The following is a 25,485-nucleotide window of genomic DNA, read 5'->3' on the forward strand; positions in this document are numbered from 1 at the left end:
CAATACATATTGGAGAAAAGCAGAAAAAGGAAAAGGAAAAAGAATAGTAAACACCCATGTAATCTCCTCATAAATGAACATTTTTTTGTTCATCTAAGCTTCAGATCTGTAATTTTTTTTTTTTTTTTGAGACAGAGTCTTGCTGTGTCACCAGGCTGGAGTGCAGTGGTGCAATCTCAGCTCACTGCAACCTCCAACTCCCTGGTTCAAGCGACTCCCCTGCCTCAGCCTCCCGAGTAACTGGGATTACAGGCACACGCCACCATGCTCAGCTAATTTTTTGTATTTTTAGTAGAGACAGGGTTTTACCGTGTTGGCCAGGATGGTTTTGATCTCCTGACCTTGTGATCCGCCCACCTCAGCCTCCCAAAATGCTGGGATTACAGGCGTGAGCCACCGCGCCTGGCCCAGATCTGTAATTTTTTTAAAGAAATGAAATATTGGGCATGGTGGCTCATGCCTGTAATCTCAGCTACTCAGGAAGCTGAGATGGAAGGATCACTTGAGGCCAGGAGTTCAAGACCAGCCTGGGCAATATAGAGAGACCCTCCACTTACCCGCCACTCCATAAAAGGCTGCTCCGAAGGCAGTGAGTCTTAATTGATTGTGCACAGTCAGTTGCAGATCGAACTCCTTATTCAGTTCTTTCTTCTCTCATCACTACTGCACTTGGCTAGTCTAAAAAAGTGTTTAAGGAAAGAAAAACCAATGAAATATTATAGATAAAGTCTAAGTTTGTGTTCTATCCACAGTGCCATCCACCGCTTTCCCCACCAAAAGACAACTAATAGTAAAATTTGGTGTACTTTAATACTTTTTAAATATTTAATTGTTAAAAATAGTATTATTTTATGTTTTCTTTAAATGTGCATAAGTGAAATCAGTACATAATTGGAATCATTGAATATACATTTATAGAACTTGCTTTTTTTGTATTATTTTTTCAGTTTTATTCATACTGACACATATAGATCTAGTTTATTGATAAGTCATAAGTGGTAAGTTTGATGAAGTTTCAGTCAACAGACCTATAGAAGCAACATCCAGATCAAGAAACAGAACATTACCAACATCCCAGAACTCCCCCTGATGTTGGTGTTTGAACTTTATGTCTGCCTTCTTTTGCTCAGCATTACGTTTATAAAATTTATCATGTTGTGCATAGTTGTAGTTTATTCTTTCTCATTGCTGTAAATATTTTGTTTTCTTTAATTAATTCAACTTTTAAATTTATCCATTCAACTATTGATTGGCATTTGGACAGTTTCCAATTTGTGGGCTATGTCAAGTAGTGCTCCTATAAATATTTTAGTACATGTTTTTGTGAACACACATATGCTCCTCAGTTGGGTATTTGTCTAAGACTTGAATTGCTGGATCGTAAGTATGCATGTGTTCAGCTTTCATAATAATGCTAAACAGTTTTTTAAAGTATTTTACCAAATTACATTCTCACCACCAGTGAATGAGAGTTCAGGCTACTCTGCCTCTTTGCCAGTACTTCATATTTTCTTTTTCATTTTAGGCACTGTATATAGTGGTCATAGTATCTCATTGTGGTTTAATTTTCACTTCCTTAATGATTAATAACATTTTTACATGTTTATTGGCCATTTAGATTCTCTTTTATGATACTCTTAAATTTTTGGTTTTTTTTAATTGACGTAATTGTGCACATTTATGGGGTACAGTGTGATATTTTGATACATGTGTACAATGTGTAATACTCAAACCAGGGTTATTGGGCTATCCCTCACCTCACGCATTTGTCTTTGTATTTAGAACATTACAATTCTTATCTTCTAGCTATTTTGAAATATATAATACATTATTGTTAATTGTTGTCACCCTGCTCTGCCATCAAACATTAGAGAACATATTCCTTCTAACTGTATGTTTGTACCCATTAACCAACTTCTCATCATCCTCCCTTCCCCCACTCCCTTCCCAGTCTCTGGTAACCACCATTTTACTCTCTTCTTCATGAGATCCCCTTTTTAAGCTCCCACATATGAATGAGAACGTACAATTTTTGTCTTTCTGTTCCTGGCTTATTTCACTTATGACTTCCAGTCCCATCCATGTTGCTGCAAATGTTTCATTTGTTATTAGGACTGAATAATACTCCATTGTGTATATATACCACATTTTCTTTATTCATTCATTTATTGATGGACACCTAGATTGATTCCATATCTTGGCTATCGTGAATAATGCTGCAACAAATACAGGGGTACAGATGTCACTTTAGTATACTGATTTCCTTTCCTTTCCTTTAAATGTATATGCAGAAGTGGAATTGCTGAATCACGTGGTAGTTTTATTTTTAGGTTTTTGAGAAAACTCCTTATTGTTTTTCATAATGGCTGTACTATTTTGCATTCTCACCAACAGTCTATAAGGGTTCCCCTTTCTCTGCATCCTTGCCAGCATTTGTTATTTTTTGTCTTTTTGATAATAGCCATTCTAACTAGGGTAAGATAATATCTCATTGTGGTTTTGATTCGCGTTTCCCTGATGATAGTGATGCTGAACATTTTTTCATATACCTGTTGGTCATTTGTACGTCCTTTGAGAAATGTCTATTCAGATCATCTTCCCATTTTTAATAAGATTATGTTTCTTTGATGCTGAGTTGAGTTCCTTGTATATTTTAAATATTAATCCCTTGTCAGACGAATGGTTTGCAAATATTTCCTGCCATTCTACAAGTTGTCTCTTCGCTTTGTTGGTTGTTTCCTTTGCTGTGCAGAAGCTTTTTAGTCTGATATAATCTCATTTATCAATTTTTGCTTTTGTTACTTGTGCTTTTGAGGTCTTATTCATAAAATCTTTTCTCAAACCAATGTCCTGAAGCATTTCCCCTATTTTTTTTTCTAGTTGTTTTATAGTTTGGGCTCTTACATTTAAGTCTTTAATCCATTTTGAGTTGATTTTTGTATATGGTGAGAGATAAGGGTCTTCTGCAGATGGATAGCCAGTTTTCCCCACAAGAGGTTGTTCTTTCTCCGGTGAGTGTTCCTGGCACTTTGGCAAAAATCAGTTGGCTGTAGACATGTAGATTTATTTCTGGGTTCTCCATCCTGTTCCACTGGCCTATGTTTCTGTTTTTTATGCCAATGCTATGCTGTTTTGGTTATTATAGCATTGTAGTATATTTTGAAGTCAGATAGTGTGATACCTCCAACTTTTTTTTTCCCCTCAGGATTGCTTTAGCTATTCAGGGTGTTTTGTGGTTTCATACACATTTTAGAATTTTTTCCTATTTCTGTGAAGAATTTCATTGTTATTTTGATAGGGATTCTATTGAATCTGTAGATTGCTTTGGTTACCCTTAAATTTTTAACATCTATACTTAACTGTTTTTCTAAAAATAAAAATCTAAAGATATTCACTGCCTCTATTCCTTACCCAATCTAGATGATAAAGTCCCTTAGCAACATTTAAATTACTACTATTCCCCCACTTACCAGTTCTATTCTTTTGAGAAAGCTATTTAGCCTCAATTTGACTCATCTGTTTTCTCATATGTAAAGTGCAGAAATCATAGTATTTAACTTATAGAATTTGGAGAAGTAAATAAGTTAATGTTTATAAAGCACTTTGAATAGTGCCTGGCATATAGTATTTGCAGTATAAATGTTAGATATATTTTTCATATATAGCATCATTATAACTTATTTAATTGATTTCCTAATTTGGGGCATTTGGAGTTTTTATATTAAAAGTATCACTTTGAGAAATAACCTTATATAACCTTTTTGTACCACTAATTAATTCCTGAATGTAGACATTTCTGATCTCAAAGAAAACTAAGATTTGACAGGCACTATCTTGAAGCTGGAAATTACTTAGAAAACAATAAAAATATGGAAATGACAAAATCTTTATCATGTCATATTCTTAGTGGAACTTGATAATATATTCACACAAAGATCTTCAATTAGTTTTATACTCAATCTTTTCCCAAAATAATATACTCCTCAGTTGTCTTAAGGTTCAAGTTCTATAAAGCCTCCTATGAAAGCTTTCTTTCTCGGCTGAGCGTGATGGCTTATGCCTGTAATCCCAGCACTGCGGGAGGCTGAGGTGGGTGAATCACTTGAGGTCAGGAGTTAGAGACCAGCGTGGCCAACATGGTAAAACCCCGTGTCTACTAAAAATACAAAAATTAGCCTGGCGTGGTGGTGTGCACCTGTAGTCCCAGCTACTTGGGAGGGTGAGGCAGGAGAATCGCTTGAACCCAGGAGTCGGAGGTTGCAGTGAGCCGAGATCTCACCACTGTACTCCAGCCTGGGTGACAGAGCTCACTCAAAACAAAAACAAAAACAAAAACAAAACAAAACAAAACAAAAAAACAGAAAGCTTTCTTTCCTTCTTTTGTTTTTTGAAAGCTTTCTACGGTTTACTTTATGCAGCTTTCAGAATCTTAAGGAAGACTTGACCAACCTATAATTACCCCAAGCCTTCTTCATTCCTAATTATTTTTAATACATACTAGAATTATGATAATTTGTAGCAGGGATAAGATAATAGGAAAAAAAAACCCAGAGGTCTGGCTTTAATTTGCTGCATAACCTTAGTTTATTACTTTTCTTTCGTGGACCTCAATTTTACCATCTATAAAATAAAGGGTAATATCATATAATTCCTATAGGTTTTTCCAATTGTAAAATTGGTGATATACTTTTACTTTATATTGCTTTCATTTAGCTTTCTTTCTTTCTTTTTTTTTTTTTTTGAGAGACAGGTTTTGCTTTGTTGCCCAGGCTAGAGTGCAGTGGAGCAATTTTAGTTCACTGTAATCTCAAATTCCTGGGCTCAAGCAATCCTCCCGCCTCAGCCTCCTGAGTAGCTGGGACTAACAGGCAAATGCCATCACACCTGGTTAATTTTTTTTTGAGACAGAGTCTCAGGCTCGAGTGCAGTGGTGCTATCTCGGTTTACGACAACTTCCACCTCCCAGGTTCCAGTGATTCTCCTGCCTCAGCCTCCCGAGTAGCTGGGACTACAGGCATGTACCACCATGCCCGGCTAATTTCTGTATTTTTAGTAGAGACAGGGTTTCACCATGTTAGCCAGGCTGGTCTCGAACTCCTGACCTCAGGTGCTCTGCCCGTCTCAGCCTCCCAAAGTGCTGGGATTACAGGCGTGAGCCACGGCGCCCTGCCCCTGGTTAATTGTTTTTTAACTTTTTGTAGAGATGGTATTTCACTCTATGGCTGGGCTGGTATCCAACTCCTGGCTTCAAGATCCTTCCGCCTCAGTCTCCCAAAGTGTTGGGATTACAGGCATGAGCCGCCACGCCCATCCTCATTTTACCTTTTAGATAAAACTTGTAAAGATTTCTAAGATCTTAAAAATTCCTCATATTTGTTACTTTATTACTCTTATCTGCCTCCTTATAGAGATTGATAACACAAATCTTAAAATGAAAATCTTAAAAAGTCTTATGTTGGAGGCCTGCCAGGAATGATACGGGAGGGGAAAAAAAAAAAAGCTAGACTGAGAAGGAAGAAAAACAGATAACAAGGTGGTGGCAGCTGTACAAACACAAACGAAACCTAGGTTTCAAATATTGGCATCATCAAAGAAATGTGCCCTGGGCCATAATCATCAGGAGGCCCTGTGTAATTCTCTAATCCAGGGTCTTGGAGTTTATTAGAATTGCATGGGACTAGAATTCCCATCTCCCAATCTCCTGGTTAATGTCTTAACACTACAACATGCTATATCATTTGAAGTTTATCATTCAGTTTTACCTAGAGAATAAAAATACATGCATGAAATAATCTTTTGTAATTTGTTTGTATAGGTTTTTTTAATTACTTGACCTATTTTCTTGCTGCTGGTGCTGTCACTTTGGGAATTGGTTTCTTTGCTTTGGCATCAGCTTTGTGGTTCCTGATTTGCAAACGAAGGTAAGGATTATTCGAATATTTCTTTAACCTTTTTTTCTTTTAAAAATTCAATAAAGGACTTTTTCAAATGGAAGTAAACTTAAATAACTATGATAGTATTGATTGTTTAGTTTGGGATTTGGTTATAGACCCTTTGGTTGGGGACGGAAGGCTTTACATTTTTTAAGTAGCCTGAAAAAAGAAGTACTGGTGATAGGAATGTTCATGCATTAAAATTTTGAAGGATAACAAGACCTACTTTCTTTTCTTTTTTTTTTTTTCTTTTCTTGAGACAGAGTCTTGCTCTGTCGCCCAGGCTGGAGTGCAGTGGCGCGATCTTGGCTCACTGCAAACTCCACCTCCTGGGTTCAAGCGATTCTCCTGACTCAGCCTCCTGGGTAGCTGGGATTACAGGTTCGCACCACGACACCCGCCTGTTTTTGTATTTTTAGTAGAGACGGGGTTTCACCATGTTGGCCAGGCTGGTCTCGAACTCCTGACCTCAGACGATCCGCCCGCCTCGGCCTCCCAAAGTGCTGGGATTACAGGCATGAGCCACCACACCCGGCCTTTATTTTCTAGAAGACATAGGTTTGATTGTAATGGTAGGTGAAAATGTTTTTAAAAATTGACTCCCAATTTTAGAGATTGAAAACATTATAGAAAAGGAAAGAAACTTTTTCTTTAGGAGATATTTAAGAAAAAAGCTGACAGAATGCCCTGGTATGGTCTGAAAGTAGTCTTTTGCCAGAAACAGAAAAAGATCATTTGACACCTTAATTCCTTTCAACTGTAAAATTTGCTGTTTCTAATTATTAATTATTAATATTAATATTAATATTAAATCATTTCAGGCCGGGTGCCGTGGCTCACACCTATAATCCCAGCACTTTGGGAGGCCAAAGCGGACGGATCACCTGGGGTCAGGAGTTTGAGACTAGCCTGGCCAAAATGGTGAAACCCTCTCTCTACTAACGATAAACAAAGTTAGCCAGATGTAGCGGCACACACCTGTAGTCCCAGCTGCTCGGGAGGCTAAGACAGGAGAATCGCTTGAACCCAGGATGCAGAGGTTGCAGTGAGCCGAGATTGTGCCATTGCACTACAGCCTGGGTGAAAAGAGTGAAACTCCATCTCAAAAATACATACATACATACATACATAAATTCAGCGTTTGCATTGTCTAATGTTTAAAATATATAAATTGTAACATAATCTTCCCACACAGTCTTCCAGTGTTCCTTGTTGCAAATGAATACACACTACCCATCTACATTCAGAAGTCAGAAACCTAGAAATTATTCACTTATTCATTCTTCCAACAAATATTTATTAGGTGCTTGCCATTGTTCTAGGTATTGAGGTTACAACTGTGAACAAGTTTAAAAAGTTTCTGTTTAATAGATTTGCAATGCCACTAGCAGGGGACAGATAATGAACAGATAAACTAGTCAGGATATGTGTGTACTAAGGTAGGTTGTATTTAATCTGAGATCTGAGTTAGAAGGAACCAGACATAGGAAGACTTTGTGCAAGAGCTGTCTAAACTGAAAGCAGAGCAAATACAAAGACCCTAAGGAATGGTCTTGACATGTTTAACAAACAGAAAGAAGGCCAATGTGAATAATCTGCAGTGAGAAAGGGAAACAATCATGAAATTGAAGAGACATGTAAGAGCCAGATCACTTAAGAATTTGTAGGCTAGAACACGGAGTTGGATTTTATTTGTGCCATTGGCAGTTTCTAAACAAGGGGAATAGCACCGTCATCGTAATAGCTAACACTGACTGCTTTCTAAATAGGCACTGTTATAAATGCTTCATATGTTATCTCATTCAGACTTAGCCCCATGAGGTAAAAGTAATATTATCTCCATTTTAAAGACTATCCTAGGCCTGGTGCGGTGACTCACGTCTGTAATCCCAGCACTTTGGGAGGCCAAGGCAGGTGGATCACTTGAGGCTAAGAGTTCGAGACCAGCCTGGCCATCATGGCAAAACTTTGTCTCTATTAAAAACACAAAAATTACCCGGGAATGGTGGTACACGCCTGTAACCCCAGCTACCTGGGAGGCTGAGACACGAGAATTGCTTGAACCCTGAAGGCAGAGATTGCAGTGAGCCAAGATCCCACCACTGCACTCCAGCCTGGGTGACAAGCGAGACTCTGTCTCAAAAATAAATAAGTAAATAAAGACTATCCTATAGCTGATTTACATTTTAATAACTGTTTAAAATTGAGGTATAGTTTACATACAAGAAACTGCATAGATTTGAAATGTACAGCTATCAGTTTCAACAAATATACACCTATGTAACCACCACTCTGTCAAGATATAGAGCTTTTCACTGCCCTAGGAAGTTCCCTCATGCTCCTTTCCAGGCATCACTCCTGACCTCCTACCTCAGAGGAAAGATTTATTCAGGTTTCTATCACCACAGATTAATTTTGCCTGTTCTTGTATCATAATGGACTTTTTATGTCTGTTTTTTTCACTCAACATAATATTTTTGAGGCCGGGCGCAGTGGCTGACGTCTGTAATCCCAACACTTTGGGAGGCTGAGGCGGGCAGATCTCTTGAGGTCAGGAGTTGGAGACCAGTGAACAGTGAAACCCTGTCTCTACTAAAAGTACAAAAATTAATCGGGCATGGTCGTTCATGCCTGTAATCCCAGCTACTCGGGAGGCTGAGGCAGGAGAATCACTTGAACCCAGATGGCAGAGGTTGCAGTGAGCTGAGATTGTGCCACTGCACTCGAGCCTGGGCAACAGAACAAGACTCTGTCTCAAAATGATAATAATATTTTTAGATTCATTTATATTGCATTTATCCATCCATAGTTCATTGTTTTATTGAGTAATATTCCATTTTATGAATATACCTTGGTTTATCTATTCTTTTGTTAATGGACATTGGGGTCATTTTGTTTTTAGCTCTTAGGAAAATGGCTGCCATAAATATTCTTGTATAAATCTTGTACATATAAAGTACAAGTACTTTCACTTTTCTTAGGTAAATACCTAAAACTAGAATTGTTGGATCATATGATTAGCTTTATTAGAAACGGCCAAACACTTTTCAGAAGTGTATATACACTCTCACTAGCAATGTATGAGAGTTCTGATTTACACTTTTAAAGATATTTTTAAAATATCTTTATGTCTCTATGAAGCCTGAATTTTAATGGAGCAAGAGTGAAAGCAGAGAGACAAGTCTGGAGACTATTGCAGAGTCAGGGTGAGAGTTTACGGTGTCTTGCACTAACATGGAAGTAGAGGAGATGAAAAGATGGAGTTGGATCTGGGATAGGTTTTGCAGGTAGAGTCAGCAGATCTTGTTGACAGATTGGATGAAAATGGCAGAGTTAATGCTGATGCATAACTTTTTGCCGTAAGCAGATACGTAGTTTATACTTTACTCAGCTCAGTTAAGCTCAGCCATTTACTGAGACAAGGAGATGATGAAAGGGAGGAGCAATTTAGGGGGCTGGTGATAAAAATGAAAGACATCCTTGAATCTCCCCACTCCCACTAAACTCAAACTATCACTAAATTCTATTTACCTTACTTCATATATTGCTCATATCTACTCAGTTATCTCCTTTACCACTGCCACCATCCTATCCAAGTTCTCATTATCCCCCACAGAGACTACTGCAAAAGAAGTTAAAATTGACTCCACCTTCAGTATCGTACTCATTTAATCTTTTCTCCACACTTCTACCAGATGTTCTCCAAGGGCAAATCTGATCAAGTCACCCTACCCTTTTTTTTTTTTTTTTTGAAACGGAGTCTTGATCTGTCACCAGGCTGGAGTGCAGTGGTGTGATCTTGGCTCGCTGCAACCTCCGCCTCCCAGGTTCAAGCAATTCTCCTGCCACAGCCTCCTGAGTAGCTGGGGCTACAGGTGCATGCCAACACATCCAGCTAATTTTTGTATTTTTAGTAGAGACAGGGTTTTGCTATGTTGTCCAGGTTGATCTCGAACTCCTGATCTTAGGTGATCCGCCCTCCTCGGCCTCCCAAAGTGCTGGGATTACAAGCGTGAACCACTGCGCCCAGCCCAAACTACCCTTCTACCCCACACTCACTATATTTTAAAGGACTTTTCATTGCCTTTGGATTAAAGATAAAACTTTTAAGGGCTTACATGGTCTACCCCCACACATATTCCCCAATCTCATCTCCCACTTTCCCTCCTGCTTTCTGTGTTTCTGTTACATTGTCCTAATCTGGCCAGTAGGTCTTTGTATATGATATTCTCTCTGTCTAGATATACTTACTTTCACATGTCCCCTCTTCCACCACATTCTACCTAATAACTACTGCTGTTTCTTCAGATGCCCAGTTAAATCATCCCTACCTTAATACTAAAGGCTTCCCTGACCTCTCTAACCAGGTTAATTCCCTTAGTTACATCCACAATACCAGGTAGCTTTCCTTGACAGCAATTTCCACTCTTGTAATTTTTCATTTTCTTGTGATTACGTTATTAATGTCTGTCTTCTTTTCTAGTATTTAAGCTCGATGGAAGCAATGAGAGTTCCATGAGGGCAGGGGGCTGTTCTTTTTCCTCCTACCACTATATATACAACATCCAGCATAAAGCCTGGCACTTAGTAAATACTCAATAAATATTTGTCGAGAATTGAATTCAATGAATAAGTGAATCCTAATTGTTAATGCCTCATTAACATAATATGATCTCTTGAATTAATTTGGAAATATTCTAGTACCTCTGAAAGAAGAAATGGCAATGAGCATTATTATTATTATTTGGGAGGAGTTTACAATTGATGAATCTACATTAACACTTCACTATCACCCATATTTTATAGTTTACATTAGGGTTCACTCTTGGTGTTGTATATTCTGTGGGTTTCGATGAATGTGTAAAATCCACCATTATAGTATCACACAGAGTATTTTCACTGCCCTAAAAGTCCTTTATGGTCCATCTATTCATCCCTCCCTCCCCCTAACTCCTGGCAACCAGTGATCCTTTTACTGTCTCCATAGTTTTGCCTTTTCCAGAATGTCATATAGTTGGAATCATATAGTATGTAGCTTTTAAGATTGACCTCTTTTACTTTAGTAATACACATGTAAGTTTCCTCCATGTCTTTTCATGCCTTAATAGCTCATTTCTTTCTTTTCAATACTGAAAAATATTCCATTGTTCTTTAAATCCTTAAGTTGAGAATGACTGTTTGAAACTACATTCCCTTATACTTAACTGTCTTTGATCATCTGAGATTTTACTTGCTGCTTTCTTTTCTTTAACTCTCTCTCACTTACTTGTGGTTGCATGGATAAGAAAAGATTACGGTACTCTTCCATTGTGAGTCAATTCAGTTTTCTTCCTCTTATTTATTTATTTTTGAGGCAGGGTCTCACTCTGTCACCCAGGCTGGAGTGTAGTGATACAATCTAGGCTCACTGCAACCTCTACCTCCTGAGTTCAAGCAACTCTCCTGCCTCAGCCACCCTAGTAGCTGGGATTACAGGCATGTGCTACCATGCCCAGCTAATTTTTTTGTATGTGTTTTTAGTAGAGACAGGGTTTCACCATGTTGGCCAAGCTGATCTTGAACTCCTGACCTCAAGTGATCCGCCCGCCTTGACCTCCCAAAGTGCTGGGATTACAGGCGTAAGCCACCGCACCAGCCCCTCTTACTTTTTGCCAGAAATATGATTAAATACCAAAATTGACCAATGAGTTGCATTTTATTTAATTTCCTTCACCATTAAGGATAATTTTATGAAAAGGCTAATTAACATTAAAACCAACTAATTTTCTCACAACCAGAAAGAAGTATATCAAAGACTCCTGGCTAATATTCAAACTGAAAATATTAGCTCTGCATACATAACTTAATTTACATTTCATGAATAAAATAAATGGCTTAATTTATATTCTATGAATAAAATAGATGTAATGAAATCTAACATATGAGTAGGGAGTATGTAAATTGACTTGTGCTTTTAAAAATAAATATGCTATAATGTATTTATTCTGATTTTAAAGCTTTATGTATAAATATTGGAAATAATGATTTTAATTGTTTTATAATCTAACTCAGGTTTAATAATATTCTTTATAAAATATTTTTCAGAGAAATATTTCAAAATTCCAAATTTAAAGCAATTGATGAGAGATGCAGGCAAAGACCATCAATGGCGAAGATTAAATCTCATTCTCAGTGTGTTTTTATTTCTCGAAATTTTCATACTGGGAGATTCCAATTACAGGTAGGGTGTAATATTTTATAGTAATCTTTTCAAATAATTTCTTTTGATACCATGTTATTAGCATTGCTGTCTTAAAATCTGAAGGACAGAGAATCCACTATTATTTTTTAATTTGAGGGACAAACTAGTTAGAGTTTATACTATAGGAAAACTGAAAAGCTAAATGAAAATATATCACCTTCTACAGTTGTATCTTCATATCTCTAGCCCAACAACCTGCATTCCACATATTGGGATTGCTATAGGGATAAAGATAAATGGCATAAGAAAAACTGAAAGCAAAATTACCAGGCTTGTCAAAGGAAAAAGATCTGGAGATAAGAGATACTCCAGATAGCCTAACCATAGCAATTGAAATTAAATTCACTTTGACAATGATGTACTAAGCCTTTACTATATTCCAAGCTCCTCTGGGCCCCTTTATTGAAGATAGTAAGATATGGCACCTACCTTCAAGGTATATGTGTAGTACAAGTGAGAAAGGCAGACACCTAATTAAATTTGTGTGATATGGTAAGCGTCAACACAATGCTAAATGAACAAAGGAAAAAAAGGCAGAGACTAAAACTACAATAGCTAAGCAAAACAGTGTTTGTTTTGTAGATAGATAAATAGTGACAAACTGATAGGTTGTCAGAGTTTCACTATATATCTTGAGTATTCAACTCAAGTTGTACTCGGTGTTCATTGATTTAACAAACATTTGCTGGCTGGCCATGGCAGCTCATGCCTGCAATCCCAGCACTTTGGGAAACCAAGGGCGGGAGGATTGCTTGAGCCCAGGAACTGGAAACCAGCCCAGGCAACACAGCGAAACCCTATCTCTATAAAAATTTTAAAAATAAAAAAGTAGTTGGATGTAGTGGCTCATGCCTGTAGTCCTAGTTGTTCAGGAGGCTGAGGCAGGAGGATCCTTTAAGTACAGGAGTTTGAAGTTGCAGTGAGCTATGACTGCGCTACTGCACTCCAGCCTAGGTGACAGCAAGACCCTGTCTCAAAAACAAACACATTTGTTGAGTACTTTATATACATCAGCACTAGTTTTGCCACTGAGGCTATATAAACAAATAAGATATGAGCCCAGCCCTAGATGAGCTCAAAATCAGTAGAGAAGAAAAATACATAAACTAAATAAGTACAACATCATATGATAAGAGCTCACAAAGTTGAAGAAGTGCAGACAAAAAAGGCTGAATTGAGGAGGGCTTCACAGAGAAGACATTTTGAACTGGGTTTTAAGAAATGAAGAGAAGTTTGTCGGGAAGAAAGAGAACAAAGGACATCTCATGTTCAAAGGCTTGTGGCTATGAAAGGAAGCAATATATTCAGTAAAAATGTTATAATGTTCGGAGCCTAGGATTCAGAAGACAGTGGTGGAAAAAGACGCTGGGGATGAGATTGCGATGAGCCTCATTTGCACCCTAAGGATTTTGAAGTTTACCCCTTAGGCCGCACAGAACCACTGAAGGATTATAGTAATATGGTCAAGAGCATTGTCTGTAGAGCCAGATTACAGATTTCAATTCTGACTGTACCACCAATAGCTGTATAATGTTAGGCAAGTTACTTAACTTCTCTGTGTCTCAGTTTCCTCATCTGCAAAATAAGGATAATTTCACCTCCGTAGAGTTGTTGTGGGATTAAAGGAATTATGTGAAAAAGCACTCAGAATAGTGCCTGATCCTGTAGTGAGCACCGTACAATTCTACTATTATTTTTACTGGAAGATTTTAAGCATGTGGATGTAAACATCAAATTGATTCTAAAGGTTATTTCCTCTGACTTTCGAATGAAGGACAGTTTGAAATAGAGATTGCATTGCAGAGAAAAATTGTTTCTATGTATGCATTTAATATTAATTTATTCAGTACCCATCACGTACTAGGCATTTTGCTAGGTACTAATGATATAATAATACCATCATACTTAACGATGTATAGACACTAATAGACAATTACAAAAGTGTCATGAGTGCAATTTTGATTAGGTTGTTTATTATTCATTCAACAAATATGTAAGAAGTGCTTATATGCCAGGCATTGTATTAGGTCACTGGGAATTTGGAGATGACCAAGGGAGATAATAGCCCCTGCTTTTATGAAATTTTTAGTGTAGTGGGAGAGAGAAATAATGCACAAGTAAACACAAAAGATAATTCAGGATTCTTTTATTTATTTTTTAATTGACAAAAATTGTATATATTTATCATGTACAACATGATGTTTTGAAATATGTGTACTTTGTGGAATGGCTAAATAATGTTAGTTAACACGTGTGTTATCTCACATACTTGTCATTTTTTGTGGTGAGAACGCTTAAAATCTACTCTCTTAGTGATTTTCAACAATACAATACATTGTTATTAACTATAATCACCGTGTTGTACAATAGATTCCTTGAATCTATTCCTCTTATCTAACTGAAATTTTGTATCCTTTGACCAACATCTCCTCTGTCACCCTGCCACCCCCAGCCCCTGGTATCCTGCCATCCCAGCCCACCATTCTACTGTCTGCTTCTACGAGTTCAACTTTTTTAGATTCCACATTTGAGTGAAATCATGGGTATTTGTCTTTCTGTGCCTGGTTTCTTTCACTTAATATAATGTCCTCCAGGTTCACCCTGGTTGTCACAAATGACAAAGTTTCCTTCTTTTTTAAGGCTGTTATTCAGGATCCTTGATATTCAGTGACAGGAACCTCATTCAAACTAGAATAAGAAAAAAAATAGTATAAAAAGTTTAAGGTAGTGCTAACCTCAGCCAATTTCAGTACAAAAGAACTCTTTTGTATTGTCCCTGTTTTTCTTATCTCAATTTCTGCCTCTGTATTGGCTTCTTCCTCTTCTACTACAGGCAGACCTCTATGGGGCAGGAGGATAAAATGATAATAAAAATAGGTTTAATATAATAAAAAACTAGAGAATGATTTCTAACAAAAACTTTTATTGTGAAATATGACATACATACAGAAGAATACATATACACATACACATGAAATTTAAATAATAAATGGATTTTTTATACTCACTACCCAGAATAAAAATAGAATGTTACCAGTACCTTTGAGATATTCTGAGTCTTATATATCTGTCACACCTCCAACTCCCACCCTCCACTAAAGGAACCACTATCCTGTAATTACAGCTAATCATTTCCTTACTTTTCCTTATAGTTTTGCCATAAATGTTATAGAATAATATATTATTAAATTTCATGTGTTTTAGACTCCATATCTAATCTTTCCTTTTTTGTGCAGTATTGCATTTCTGAAATTCCTCCAGTTGATGTATGTAGCCATAGTTCATTGCTTTTACTGTTATCTGGTATTCCATTGTGTGAAAATATCAAATTTTCTGTGGTTTACATTAAGTTTGGAGTGGTTTTCAGCTGTTTCTCTATGAAATCTTTATAGAGGCTATACCTAAGAGTAGAATTGCTGCATTATAGGGTAAGTGCATATTCAACCTTATTAAATAATTCCAAATTGTTTTCCAAAGTAGCTGTGTCAATATATGTTCCCCCAACATATATATAAGTGCACAGATTACTTCATATCTTCAACAATCTTGGCATTTTCAGGCTTCTAAATTTCTGACAACCTAATGGATGTGTAACAGTATCTATAGTCTTCCTACCTAATTTTCTTCAAGCCATTGTAGATTCATAGCAAAACTGAGCAGAAAGTACAGAGTCCCACTATATTCTTTCCCCCACACAGGCACAGCCTCCCCAACTATCCACATCCTACACCAGAGAGGTGCATATGCTACTATTGATGAACCCACATTGACACATAATAATCCAAAATTCATAGTTTACAATAATGTTCACTTTTGGTATTATGTAGTCTATGGGTTTTGACAAATGTGCAATCATGTCATTACAGTATCATACAGAATGGTTTCATTATCCTAAAAGTCCTCTGTGCTTCTCTGATTTATCCCTCCCTCTGCTCTAACCCCTGGCAACCCCTGATCCTTTTACTGTTTCCAAAGTTTTTGCCTTTTCCAGAATAGGCACATTTGTCATATAGTTGGAATCACACAATATGTAGTCTTTTCAGATTGGCTTCTTTCACTTAGCAATGTGCATTTAAGCTTTCTCCATGTATTTTCATGGCTCGATGGCCTGTCTTAGTCTGTTTTCTGTTGCTCATACCAGAATACCTGAAACTGGGTAATTTATTAAAAACGAAATGTATTTCTTACAGTCTGGAGTTCGGAAGTCTAAGGTCAAGGAGGGGCACATCTGGTGAAAGCCTTCTTTCTGGTAGGATTTCTGCAAAGTCCTGGGGTGGCATAGGGCATCACATGGTGAAGGGGCTGAGTGTGCTAGTTCAAGTCTCTTGTCTTCTTAGAAAGCCACTAGTCCCACTCCTGTGATAACCCATTAATCTATTAATCCATTAAGCCATTAATGGATTAATCTATTTATGACCCAATCACTTCTTAAAGGCCCCACCTTCTGAATACTGCCACATTGTGGATTAAGTGTGGATTAAGTTTCAACATGAGTTTTGGAGGGACAAATATTGAAACTATAGCCTAGCCTATTTCTTTTTAGCACGGAATAATGTTCCATTGTATACCATAGTTTATTTATCCATTCACCTATGGAAGGACATTTTGGTTTTTTCCAAGTTTTGGCAATTATGAATAAAGTTGCTATAAACATATGTGTGGAGGTTTTTGTATAAACATAAATTTTCAACTTATTTGCATGAATACCAGCGAACACAATTATGGGATCTTATGGTATGAGTGTGTGTAGTTTAATAAGAAAGTGCCAATTTTTCTTCCAAAGTATATCACTCTGCATTTCCACCCGCAATGCATGAGAGTTCCTGTTGTTCCCCATTCTCACCAGCATTTGTTGTTGTCAGTGTTTTGGAGTTTCACCATTCTAACAAATGTGTAGTGGTATCTCATTTTAATTTGCAATTCCCTAGTAACATGTGATGTTGAACACCTTTTCATGTGCTTATTTGCTATCTATCTTCTTCGATGAGGTGTCTGTTCGATCTTTCATTCATTTTTAATTAGGTTATTGATTTTCTTATTGCTGAGTTTTAAAGAATGTAAGTTTTAAAGAACTTATATATAACAAGTTTAAAATATATATTTTATACACACATGTATATATATACACACACACACACACACACATTATATATATATATAGAGAGAGAGAGCGAGCAATAATCCTTTATCAGATATGTACTTTGCAAATATTTTTTCCCAGCCCATGGCTTGTATCTCTTGGTATTTCACTGTAGTTTGTTTTTTTTTTTTTTTTTTTTGAGACAGTCTCGCACTGTTGCCCAGGCTGGAGTGCAGTGGCGTGATCTCGGCTTGCTGCAAGCTTCGCCTCCTGGGTTCACGCCATTCTCCTGCCTCAGCCTCCCAAGTTGCTGGGACTACAGGCGCCCGCCACCATGCCCGGCTAATTTTTGTATTTTTAGTGGAGACAGGGTTTCGCCATGTTGGCCAGCCTGGTCTTGAACTCCTGGCCTCAAGTGATCCGCCCACCTTGGCCTTCCAAAGTGCTGGGATTATAGGCGTGAGCCACTGTACCTGGCCTCTTTGCACTATTTTTAAGGTGTGTTTTTGTTGCAGGGCAGCCGCCTCAAAACTGGGGTTTAGCCTAGGAGAAAGCCAGGAAAGAATTCAAGGGCAAGCTGGTGGTGTTGGACAGCAATCTTTTGTTGAACATTACTGCTCTTTGCAGATCAGGGCTAATTCATAGGCAGCACATCCAGAGACAGCAACCTATGGGCTCTTATCAACTGTGATTATACTCAGTAAACCCACATTCAATTACATGCAAATTAAGGAGTGGATCAATGCAAATGGAGGAATGGATTACTTAGAACTTTCTAGGAAAGGGGCAGTAATATCTGAGTCATTGCCATGGAAAGTGGTCATAACTTCTGGGTCACTGCCATGACACTGGTGATAGTGTCTTGTATTAATGAGCAATGAAGGCAGCTAGGGATCACTTTTGTCACCATCTGCTGGTTCCTATGGGTTTCTTCACTTTATTCTGTCTGGACAAGATCCTGTTTTGGTCAGCAGGGTTGTGACCAGAAAACAAGTCCTGCTGGCTTCCTAACCTCATTCCCCACCTCAGAGATTACTCTTCCTTAATCTTAAAGGGTCTGTGGAAGGGCAGAGGCCCATCTTCTGTAACTGCTTCTTGCTCATTTTATGGGTATAGGCCCTGCCTAGCATTGGAGGAGTAAAAATCTCTGGATACCTTACCCAAAGGGCCCAACGGGAAGGTGTTTTTGTTTTCAGGGTCAAAAGATGGGATGCGGTTGGAAGCCTTGTGCCAGCATCATCTTCATGTGTAATCTAGAAAGTATAAACTTTACTAGAAGGTTAAACAAGAAAAGGAATTAGAAGGAAGAGAAAAATTAATGCTCCAATGCCCACCCACAGCATCACATTATCTATTTATGCATTTGTGAAATAATAGCTTTCAGTCTTTTAGGGGGTTATAAACATAAGTCTGGTATCCTCCTCTTAGGCTTGTGAGGACTTATAAGAAACAGGCTTAATCCTGGACATATATCCAGCTAGTGATTCCCTTGAAGTTTAATAGCAGTAGGGTTTTTAGTTTTAAGTTTTTAGTAACACTAAGTCTTCCAGGAGGAGGCAATACTTTATTTCTATATTCTTGAAGGGCCTTGTAAACCTATCCTAAATTATAAAGGGGGCATAGTGCTGGATTGTAGGAATGAGTCACCATGCCCAGCTGTAATTAACTTTATAGAAGCCTTGCACATCTTATTTTGTTACCAAGCAATGAGCATTCTGTCTGACATGCATAGAAACCAATACTATGGCACCAGCTTTTTAGAAAAGAAAAAGCTTCATTGTAAGGTCAACTGGGCAAGGAGTTAGAAGGCAATGCTCAAATATGTCACCCTGAGCTGGAGTCTGGGAGCAGATTTGAAAGACAGAGAGTAACTATGAAGGAGATAGAAAAATGTAACTAGGCATGATCTGATTGGGTCCCAAAGAGGAGGTGCCAGGTCATTGGGTTTTAAATTTGTACTTCAGCAAAACAGGAGCTAGGTGCGGTGGCTCATACTTGTAATCCCAGCACTTTGGGTTGCTGAGGTGGGTGGATTGCTTGAGCTCAGGAGTTCAAGACCAGCCTGGGCAGCATAGCGAGACCCCAGCTCTAAAAACAAAAAACAAAAACAGGGAACCCCCTCACTTCTTAATTGGGTCCCTGTTCCTCAACTCAAGTTACTTAGGTTCTGCACGTGGTTAATTTTTCCATTCTGGTCAGCTCTGGGTCACATATCAGGCATGATTGGTTCATCTGGACATGCTCAAGTGTGACTTGCAACCTGGGGGCCCACTGCAACTGAGAAACTCAGTATTTTGTTACAATTGCTACTGACAAAGTATAACCAGAGTGAACTGGTTCTATAATTACATTGTTAGTTTTTATTACTGGAATTTTTTTGAGACAGGGTCTTGCTCCGTTGCCCAGGCTGGAGTGCAGTGGCAAAATCATAGGTCACTGTAACCTTGAACTCCTGGACTCAAAGGATCCTCCTACCTCAGCCTCCTGAGTAGCTGGAACTACAGGTACACACCACCATGTCCACTTTAAAAAAAAAATTGTAGAGATAGAGTCTTGCTGTGTTGCCGAGGCTAATCTCGAACTCCTGGGCTCAAGTGAGCCTCCTGCCTCAGCCTCCCAATGTGCTTATTACAGGTATGAGCCACTGCACCCAACTCGTATTACTGAAAAATGTATATGTTTGTGCTTTTGTGAAATGATTTTAAGTAACCTTTTAATTTTAGAATAATCTATGATTTATAGAACAGTCATGAAGATAATATAAAATTTTCCTATACCCTTCACCCAGTTTTCCTCCAGTGCTAAAATCTTAAGTTACCATAGTATATTTGTCAAAACTAAGAAACCAACACTGGTACATTATTATTAACTAAACTCCAGATGTTATTTAGATTTCGCCAGTTTTTAAGTGAATGTACTTTTGCTATTTCAGGACCTAATCCAGGATCCTACATTGCATTTGTTTCTTTAATTTCCTCTGCTCTGTAACTGTATCTCCATCTTTCTTGTTTAACCTAACCTTTACAGTTTTGAGGAGTGCTGGTCATGTTTGTAAAATGTCCCTCAATTGGGGTTTGTTTATTTTTTTTTTCATTATTTATAACTTGGGTTATGTATTTTGGGGAAGAATACCACTGAAGTGAAATTAATGTGATTTAAAAAATATTTTATTGATACAATTTTTAAAATATTTTGAGATTAATTACCTACAATAGAATGCAAAGAATTTAGATATTCCACTTAATGAACATTGACAGCTGTATATACATTCAACCAACACCTAAAACAAACTACAGAACATTTTTATCACCTAAGAAAATTCTCTCATGTCTGCTTTCTAGTCAATTCCTCTACCCATCCCAGGTATCAGCTTTCTGATTTTTTGTCATTTTTTTTTTTGTGTGAGATGGAGTTTCGCTCTTGTCGCCCAAGCTGGAGTGCAATGATGCAATCTCAGCTCACTGCAACCTCCGCCTCCTGGGTTCAAGCGATTCTCCTGCCTCAGCCCCGGAATAGCTGGGACTACAGACGCATGCCACCAAGCCCAGCTAATTTTGTATTTTTAGTAGGACAGGGTTTCACCATGTTGGCCAGGCTAGTCTCGAGCTCCTGACCTCAGGTGATCCACCTGCCTTGGCCTTCCAAAGTGCTGGGGTTACAGGTGTGAGCCACTGCGCCCAGCAGCTTTCTGATTTCTGACAAGGTTTAGTTTTTATCTGTTCCTAAATTATATATAAATTAAATTATATCTTTTATGTCTGATTACTCTCACTTAATAAAAGTTTTGGGGCTCACCCATGTTATTGTGTGTGTTAGAACTTTGTTCTTTCTATTGATAAGTGGTAGTCCATTATAGGAACATTTTATGCATTCTCTTGTTGACGGATATTGGGTTGTTTTTAGTTTTTGACTACTATGAATAAGGCTACTCTAAACAACCACATACTTTTAGTGAACATATATTCTCATTTTTCTTTTCTTTGTTTTTTTTTTTTTTTTTTTTGAGATAGAGTCTCGCTCTGTCACCCAGGCTGGAATGCAATTGCGTGATCTCAGCTCACTGCAACCTGCACCTCCTGGGTTCAAGCGATTCTCCTGCCTCAGCCTCCCGAGTAGTTGGGACTATAGGCGCGTGCCACCACGCCCAGCTAACTTTTTGTATTTTTAGTAGAGATCAGGTTTCACCATGTTGACCAGGCTGGATTAGAACTTTTGACCTCCAGTGATCTACCCACCTTGGCCTCCCGAAGCACTGGGATTACAGGCGTGAGCCACCGCGCCCAGCCTGTATTTTCATTTTTCATGGGAAAGTACCTGAACCTGGAATTGTCAAGGCTTGGGGAGACATACATGTAAATTTATAAGAAACTGCTGAGCAGATTTCCAAAGTGATTGTAACTTATTTCACTCCCACCAGCAATAAGTGAGAGTTTCAATTTTCCATGGACTTGCCAACATATGGTGGTGTTATTAGTATTTTTAATTTTAGCTATTTTAGTGGGTGTAAAGCCAGGCACAGTGGCTCACTCCTGTAATCCCCGCACTTTGGGAGGCCAAGGTGGGCAGATCACCTGAGATCAGGAATTCAAGACCAGCCTGGCCAGTATGGCGAAATCCCATCTCTACTGAAAATAAAAAAAATTAGCCAGGTGTGGTGGTGCTTGCCTGTAATCCCAGCTTGTCAGGAGGCTGAGGCAGGATAATCGCTTGAAATTGGGAGGCAAAGGTTGCAGTGAGCAGAGATTGTGCCACTGCGCTCCAGCCTGGGTGACAGAGCAAGACTTTGTCTCCAAAAATTAAATTAAAATAAAATAAAATAAAATAGCTTTTAATTTATATTTCCCTGATGACTAAAGACGGTGAGCTTGTTGGCTAGCTGTATATATTTGTGTGTGTGACCTGCTTGTTTCAGTCTTTTACCCACTTTTTAAACTGGAAAGTTTGTTTGACTTTGTTTGCTTTTTTTGCTTTTTTTGTTTTGCTTTGTTTTGTTTTGTTTTGAGATGGAGTCTGGCGAGGTCACCCAGGCTTGAGTGCAGTGGCACAATCTTGGCTCACTGCAACATCTGCCTTCCTGGTTCAAGTGATTCTCCTGCCTCAGCCTCCTGAGTAGCTGGGATTACAGGCATGTACCACCATGCCTGGCTAATTTTTGTATTTTTAGTAGAGACAGGGTTTCACCATGTTGGCCAGGCTGGTCTCAAACTCCTGACCTCAGGCGATCCACCTGCCTCGGCCTCCCAAAGTGCTGGGATTACAGGCGAGAGCCACCGTGCCTGGCCACGCAGCTAAATTTTTAAATTTTTTGTAGAGATGGGGTCTCAAACTCCTGGCCTCAAGTGATCCTCCCTCCTTGGCCTCTCAGAGCACTGGGATTATGAGTGTGAGCCGCTGCACCCAGCCCATGCTACCCTTTATAATCACTCCCTCCCTCCCTTTCCCTAGCTCCTGGCAACCAGCGATCTGTTGCCCATCTCTACAATTTTATCATTTCCAGAATGTTATATAAATGGAGTCATGTAACATGTGGTCTTTTGACATTGGCTTTTCTTTTGAGATTGTGCAGTGGCACAATCATAGGTCACTGTAACCTTGAACTCATGGACTCAAGGGATCCTCCCACCTCAGCCTCCTGAGTAGCTAGGACTACAGACAATTGCCACCACACCCCGGGAGACCCAGTTTAATACCTGTCTTATTCATTTCAGGCTGCTATAACAAAAATAACATAGATTGGGTGGCTTAAACAACTTTTATTTCTCACAGTTTTGAAGGCTGAGAAGTCCAAGATCAAGATGCTGAAAGATCCGGTTCTGGTGAAGGCCCTCTTCCTGATTTGGAGATGGCCTTTTTCTTGCTGTGTTTTCAGATGGCAGGGAGCAGAGAGAGCAAGAGCGCACTTTCACATCTCTTCTTATAAAGGCACTAATTCCATTCATGAGAGTCCAAGTCCTCATGTCTTAATTACTTCCCAAAGGCTCCACCTCCTAATATCATCACATTGAGGGTTAAGATTTCAGTGTATGAATTTTGAGCTGACACATACATTCAGTCGATAATAATATCCATACAATCCCTCCAAGTTGCTGCATCAATAGTTTGTTCTTTTTCATGGCTGAGTAGTATAACATTGTGTGTTATACTAATGATTAAATCACAGAGTTTAATCATTTATGCATTGAGGGATATTTGAGATGTTTCCAGTTTGCAGCTTGCACATAAAGGGCCACAAACATTCATGTACAGGTTTTTCTGTAGAGATAAGTTTTCATTTCTCTAGAATAAATGCCCAGGAATGCAGTTTCTGGGTCATATATTTAATGCCCAGGAATGCAGCTTCTGGTAAGAGTATATTTAACTTTTAAGAAACTGTCAGACTTCATTCCAGAGTAACTGTACCATTTTACATTTCCAACAGTAATGTATGAGAGATCCAGTTTCTTTCTTTCTTTTTTTTTTTTTAAGAGACAAGGGCCTTGCTATGTTGCCCAGGCTGGACTCTTAACTCCTGGGCTCAAGTGATCCTCCCACCTCAGTCCCCTGAGTAGCTGAGACTACAGACATGTGCCACTACACTCCAAGAAATGCAGTTTCTAAGCATCCTTGCCGGCATTTGATACTATCTATATTGTTTATTTTAGCCATTTAAAACTATGTGTTTTCATATATGATATATGTGTCCAATTTCATTCACATGCAATGGATATCTCATTGTCCCAACATCATTTGTAGAAAAGTCTTTTTTTCCCATTCCATTGTCTCAGCACACTTATCAAAAATCAGTTGACTGTAAGTGTGAGCATTTATTTCTGGACTCTGAGTTCTATTTCATTGATGTATATGTCTCATACCAACACCATGCTGTCTTGATTATTGTAGCTTTGTAGTAAATTTTAATATCAGGAAGTATGAGCCTTCCAGTTTTGTTCTTTTTCAAGATTATTTTGACTATCATAGTTTTACATCTTACATTTCTATGTTTGGTCCATTTTTAGTTAATTTTTCTTTTTCTCTTTTGAGATGGAGTTTCACTCTTGTCGCCCAGGCTGGAGTGCAGCGGCGCTATCTTGGCTCACAGCAACCTCCACCTCCCAGGTTCAAGCAATTCTCCTGCCTCAGCCTCCCAAGTAGCTGGGATTACAGGCATGCACCACCATGCCTGGCTAATTTTGTATTTTTAGTAGAGATGGAGGTTTCTCCATGTTGGTCAGGCTGGTCTCAAACTCCTGACCTCAGGTGATCTGCCCACCTTGGCCTCCCAAAGTGCTGGGATTACAGGTGTAAGCCACTATGCCCAGCCGTTAATTGTTTTGTATAAGGTGTGAGGTTTAGGTCAAGGTTCATTTGTGGCAGTACGCATGTCTAATTGTTCCAGTATTATTTGTTGAAAAAGTAAACACAATGAATTGCTTTGCTTTGCATCTGTGAATTGCTTTTGCAATTCTTCTCCTGTCTATGGCAGTTCCTCTTCCTCCTCCTTTCTCCATTTTAGTCAGTGGTAAGAGCTACTGTAGATGTCTTCTCTCTTATTAAGAGTTTGTCACTTTCTGGAGTTTCGTTTTTTGTTTTATTTTTAAAAGATGATTATTGGCTGGGCTTGGTGGCTCACACCTATAATCCTAGCAGTGTGAGAAGCTGAGGTGGGAAAATCATTTGAGCCCAGGAGTTTGAGACCAGCCTGGGCAACAAAGCAAGACATCATCTCTAGCAAAAAGAAAGAGAGAGAGAGAGAGAAAGGAAGAAAAAAAATTTAAAAAGATAGTTAAGCTTATCCATATTGCTTGTGTCATTAGAGTAAGAGCAATGGTCTTTTACAACTTTCTACATTTAAACCTAAAATAAGCAATGATTGGCCATGGATTGCTGGCCAGTAGAAATAGTCGTTTTCTGGCTAGTACATAGAAATGATCCCACTGCTGCCACACTACTAAATGCTTTGGCTGACACCACCCATTAGAGTGTAGTGACCAGTGGTCCAAGAGCACCTCGGCGCCCCCAGCAAAGTGAATTCCCAACCTTGAGCCAGAGAACAAAGTCAGGGCCCAGTGCAAGTACCTTAGAGTTAGAGCACACAGTCTAGGAATTGGGAGCTGAGGATTGGCTGCCTAAAATATTCTAGAAATGAAGCCAGTTGGCTGAATCCACCTTATACCAAAATAAAACCCTCAAGGTCATAAAATAGGTGAAAAGGAAAAAGAAAACATCCAAAGGTCAGCAACCTCAGAGATTGA

At 38.6% G+C, this 25,485-nt stretch overlaps 1 protein-coding gene across 5 annotated transcripts in view, besides 1 other annotated feature; it reads left to right on the forward strand.

Moving 5' to 3' along the window:
* C1orf185 (chromosome 1 open reading frame 185) overlaps positions 1 to 25,485 on the forward strand; it is a 50,055-nt gene that overhangs the window by 4,421 nt on the left and 20,149 nt on the right. For all 5 annotated transcript variants that reach the window (XM_024446525.2, XM_011541282.3, NM_001136508.2 and 2 more), the window contains exons 2-3: positions 5,816 to 5,921; positions 12,018 to 12,153. In XM_024446525.2, coding sequence (XP_024302293.2) covers positions 5,816 to 5,921; positions 12,018 to 12,153 — 242 coding nt within the window. The remainder of the gene's footprint in view (positions 1 to 5,815; positions 5,922 to 12,017; positions 12,154 to 25,485) is intronic.
* Positions 24,807 to 24,856: an enhancer, noted in NCBI's record as "active region_1018". NCBI's record gives its function as "activates an Ori minimal core promoter by ATAC-STARR-seq in GM12878 lymphoblastoid cells {active_cell/tissue: GM12878}" and the evidence as "EXISTENCE:reporter gene assay evidence [ECO:0000049][PMID:35858748]".

Source organism: Homo sapiens, chromosome 1 (genome assembly GCF_000001405.40).
Source record: "Homo sapiens chromosome 1, GRCh38.p14 Primary Assembly".
Taxonomy (NCBI): Eukaryota; Metazoa; Chordata; class Mammalia; order Primates; family Hominidae; genus Homo; species Homo sapiens.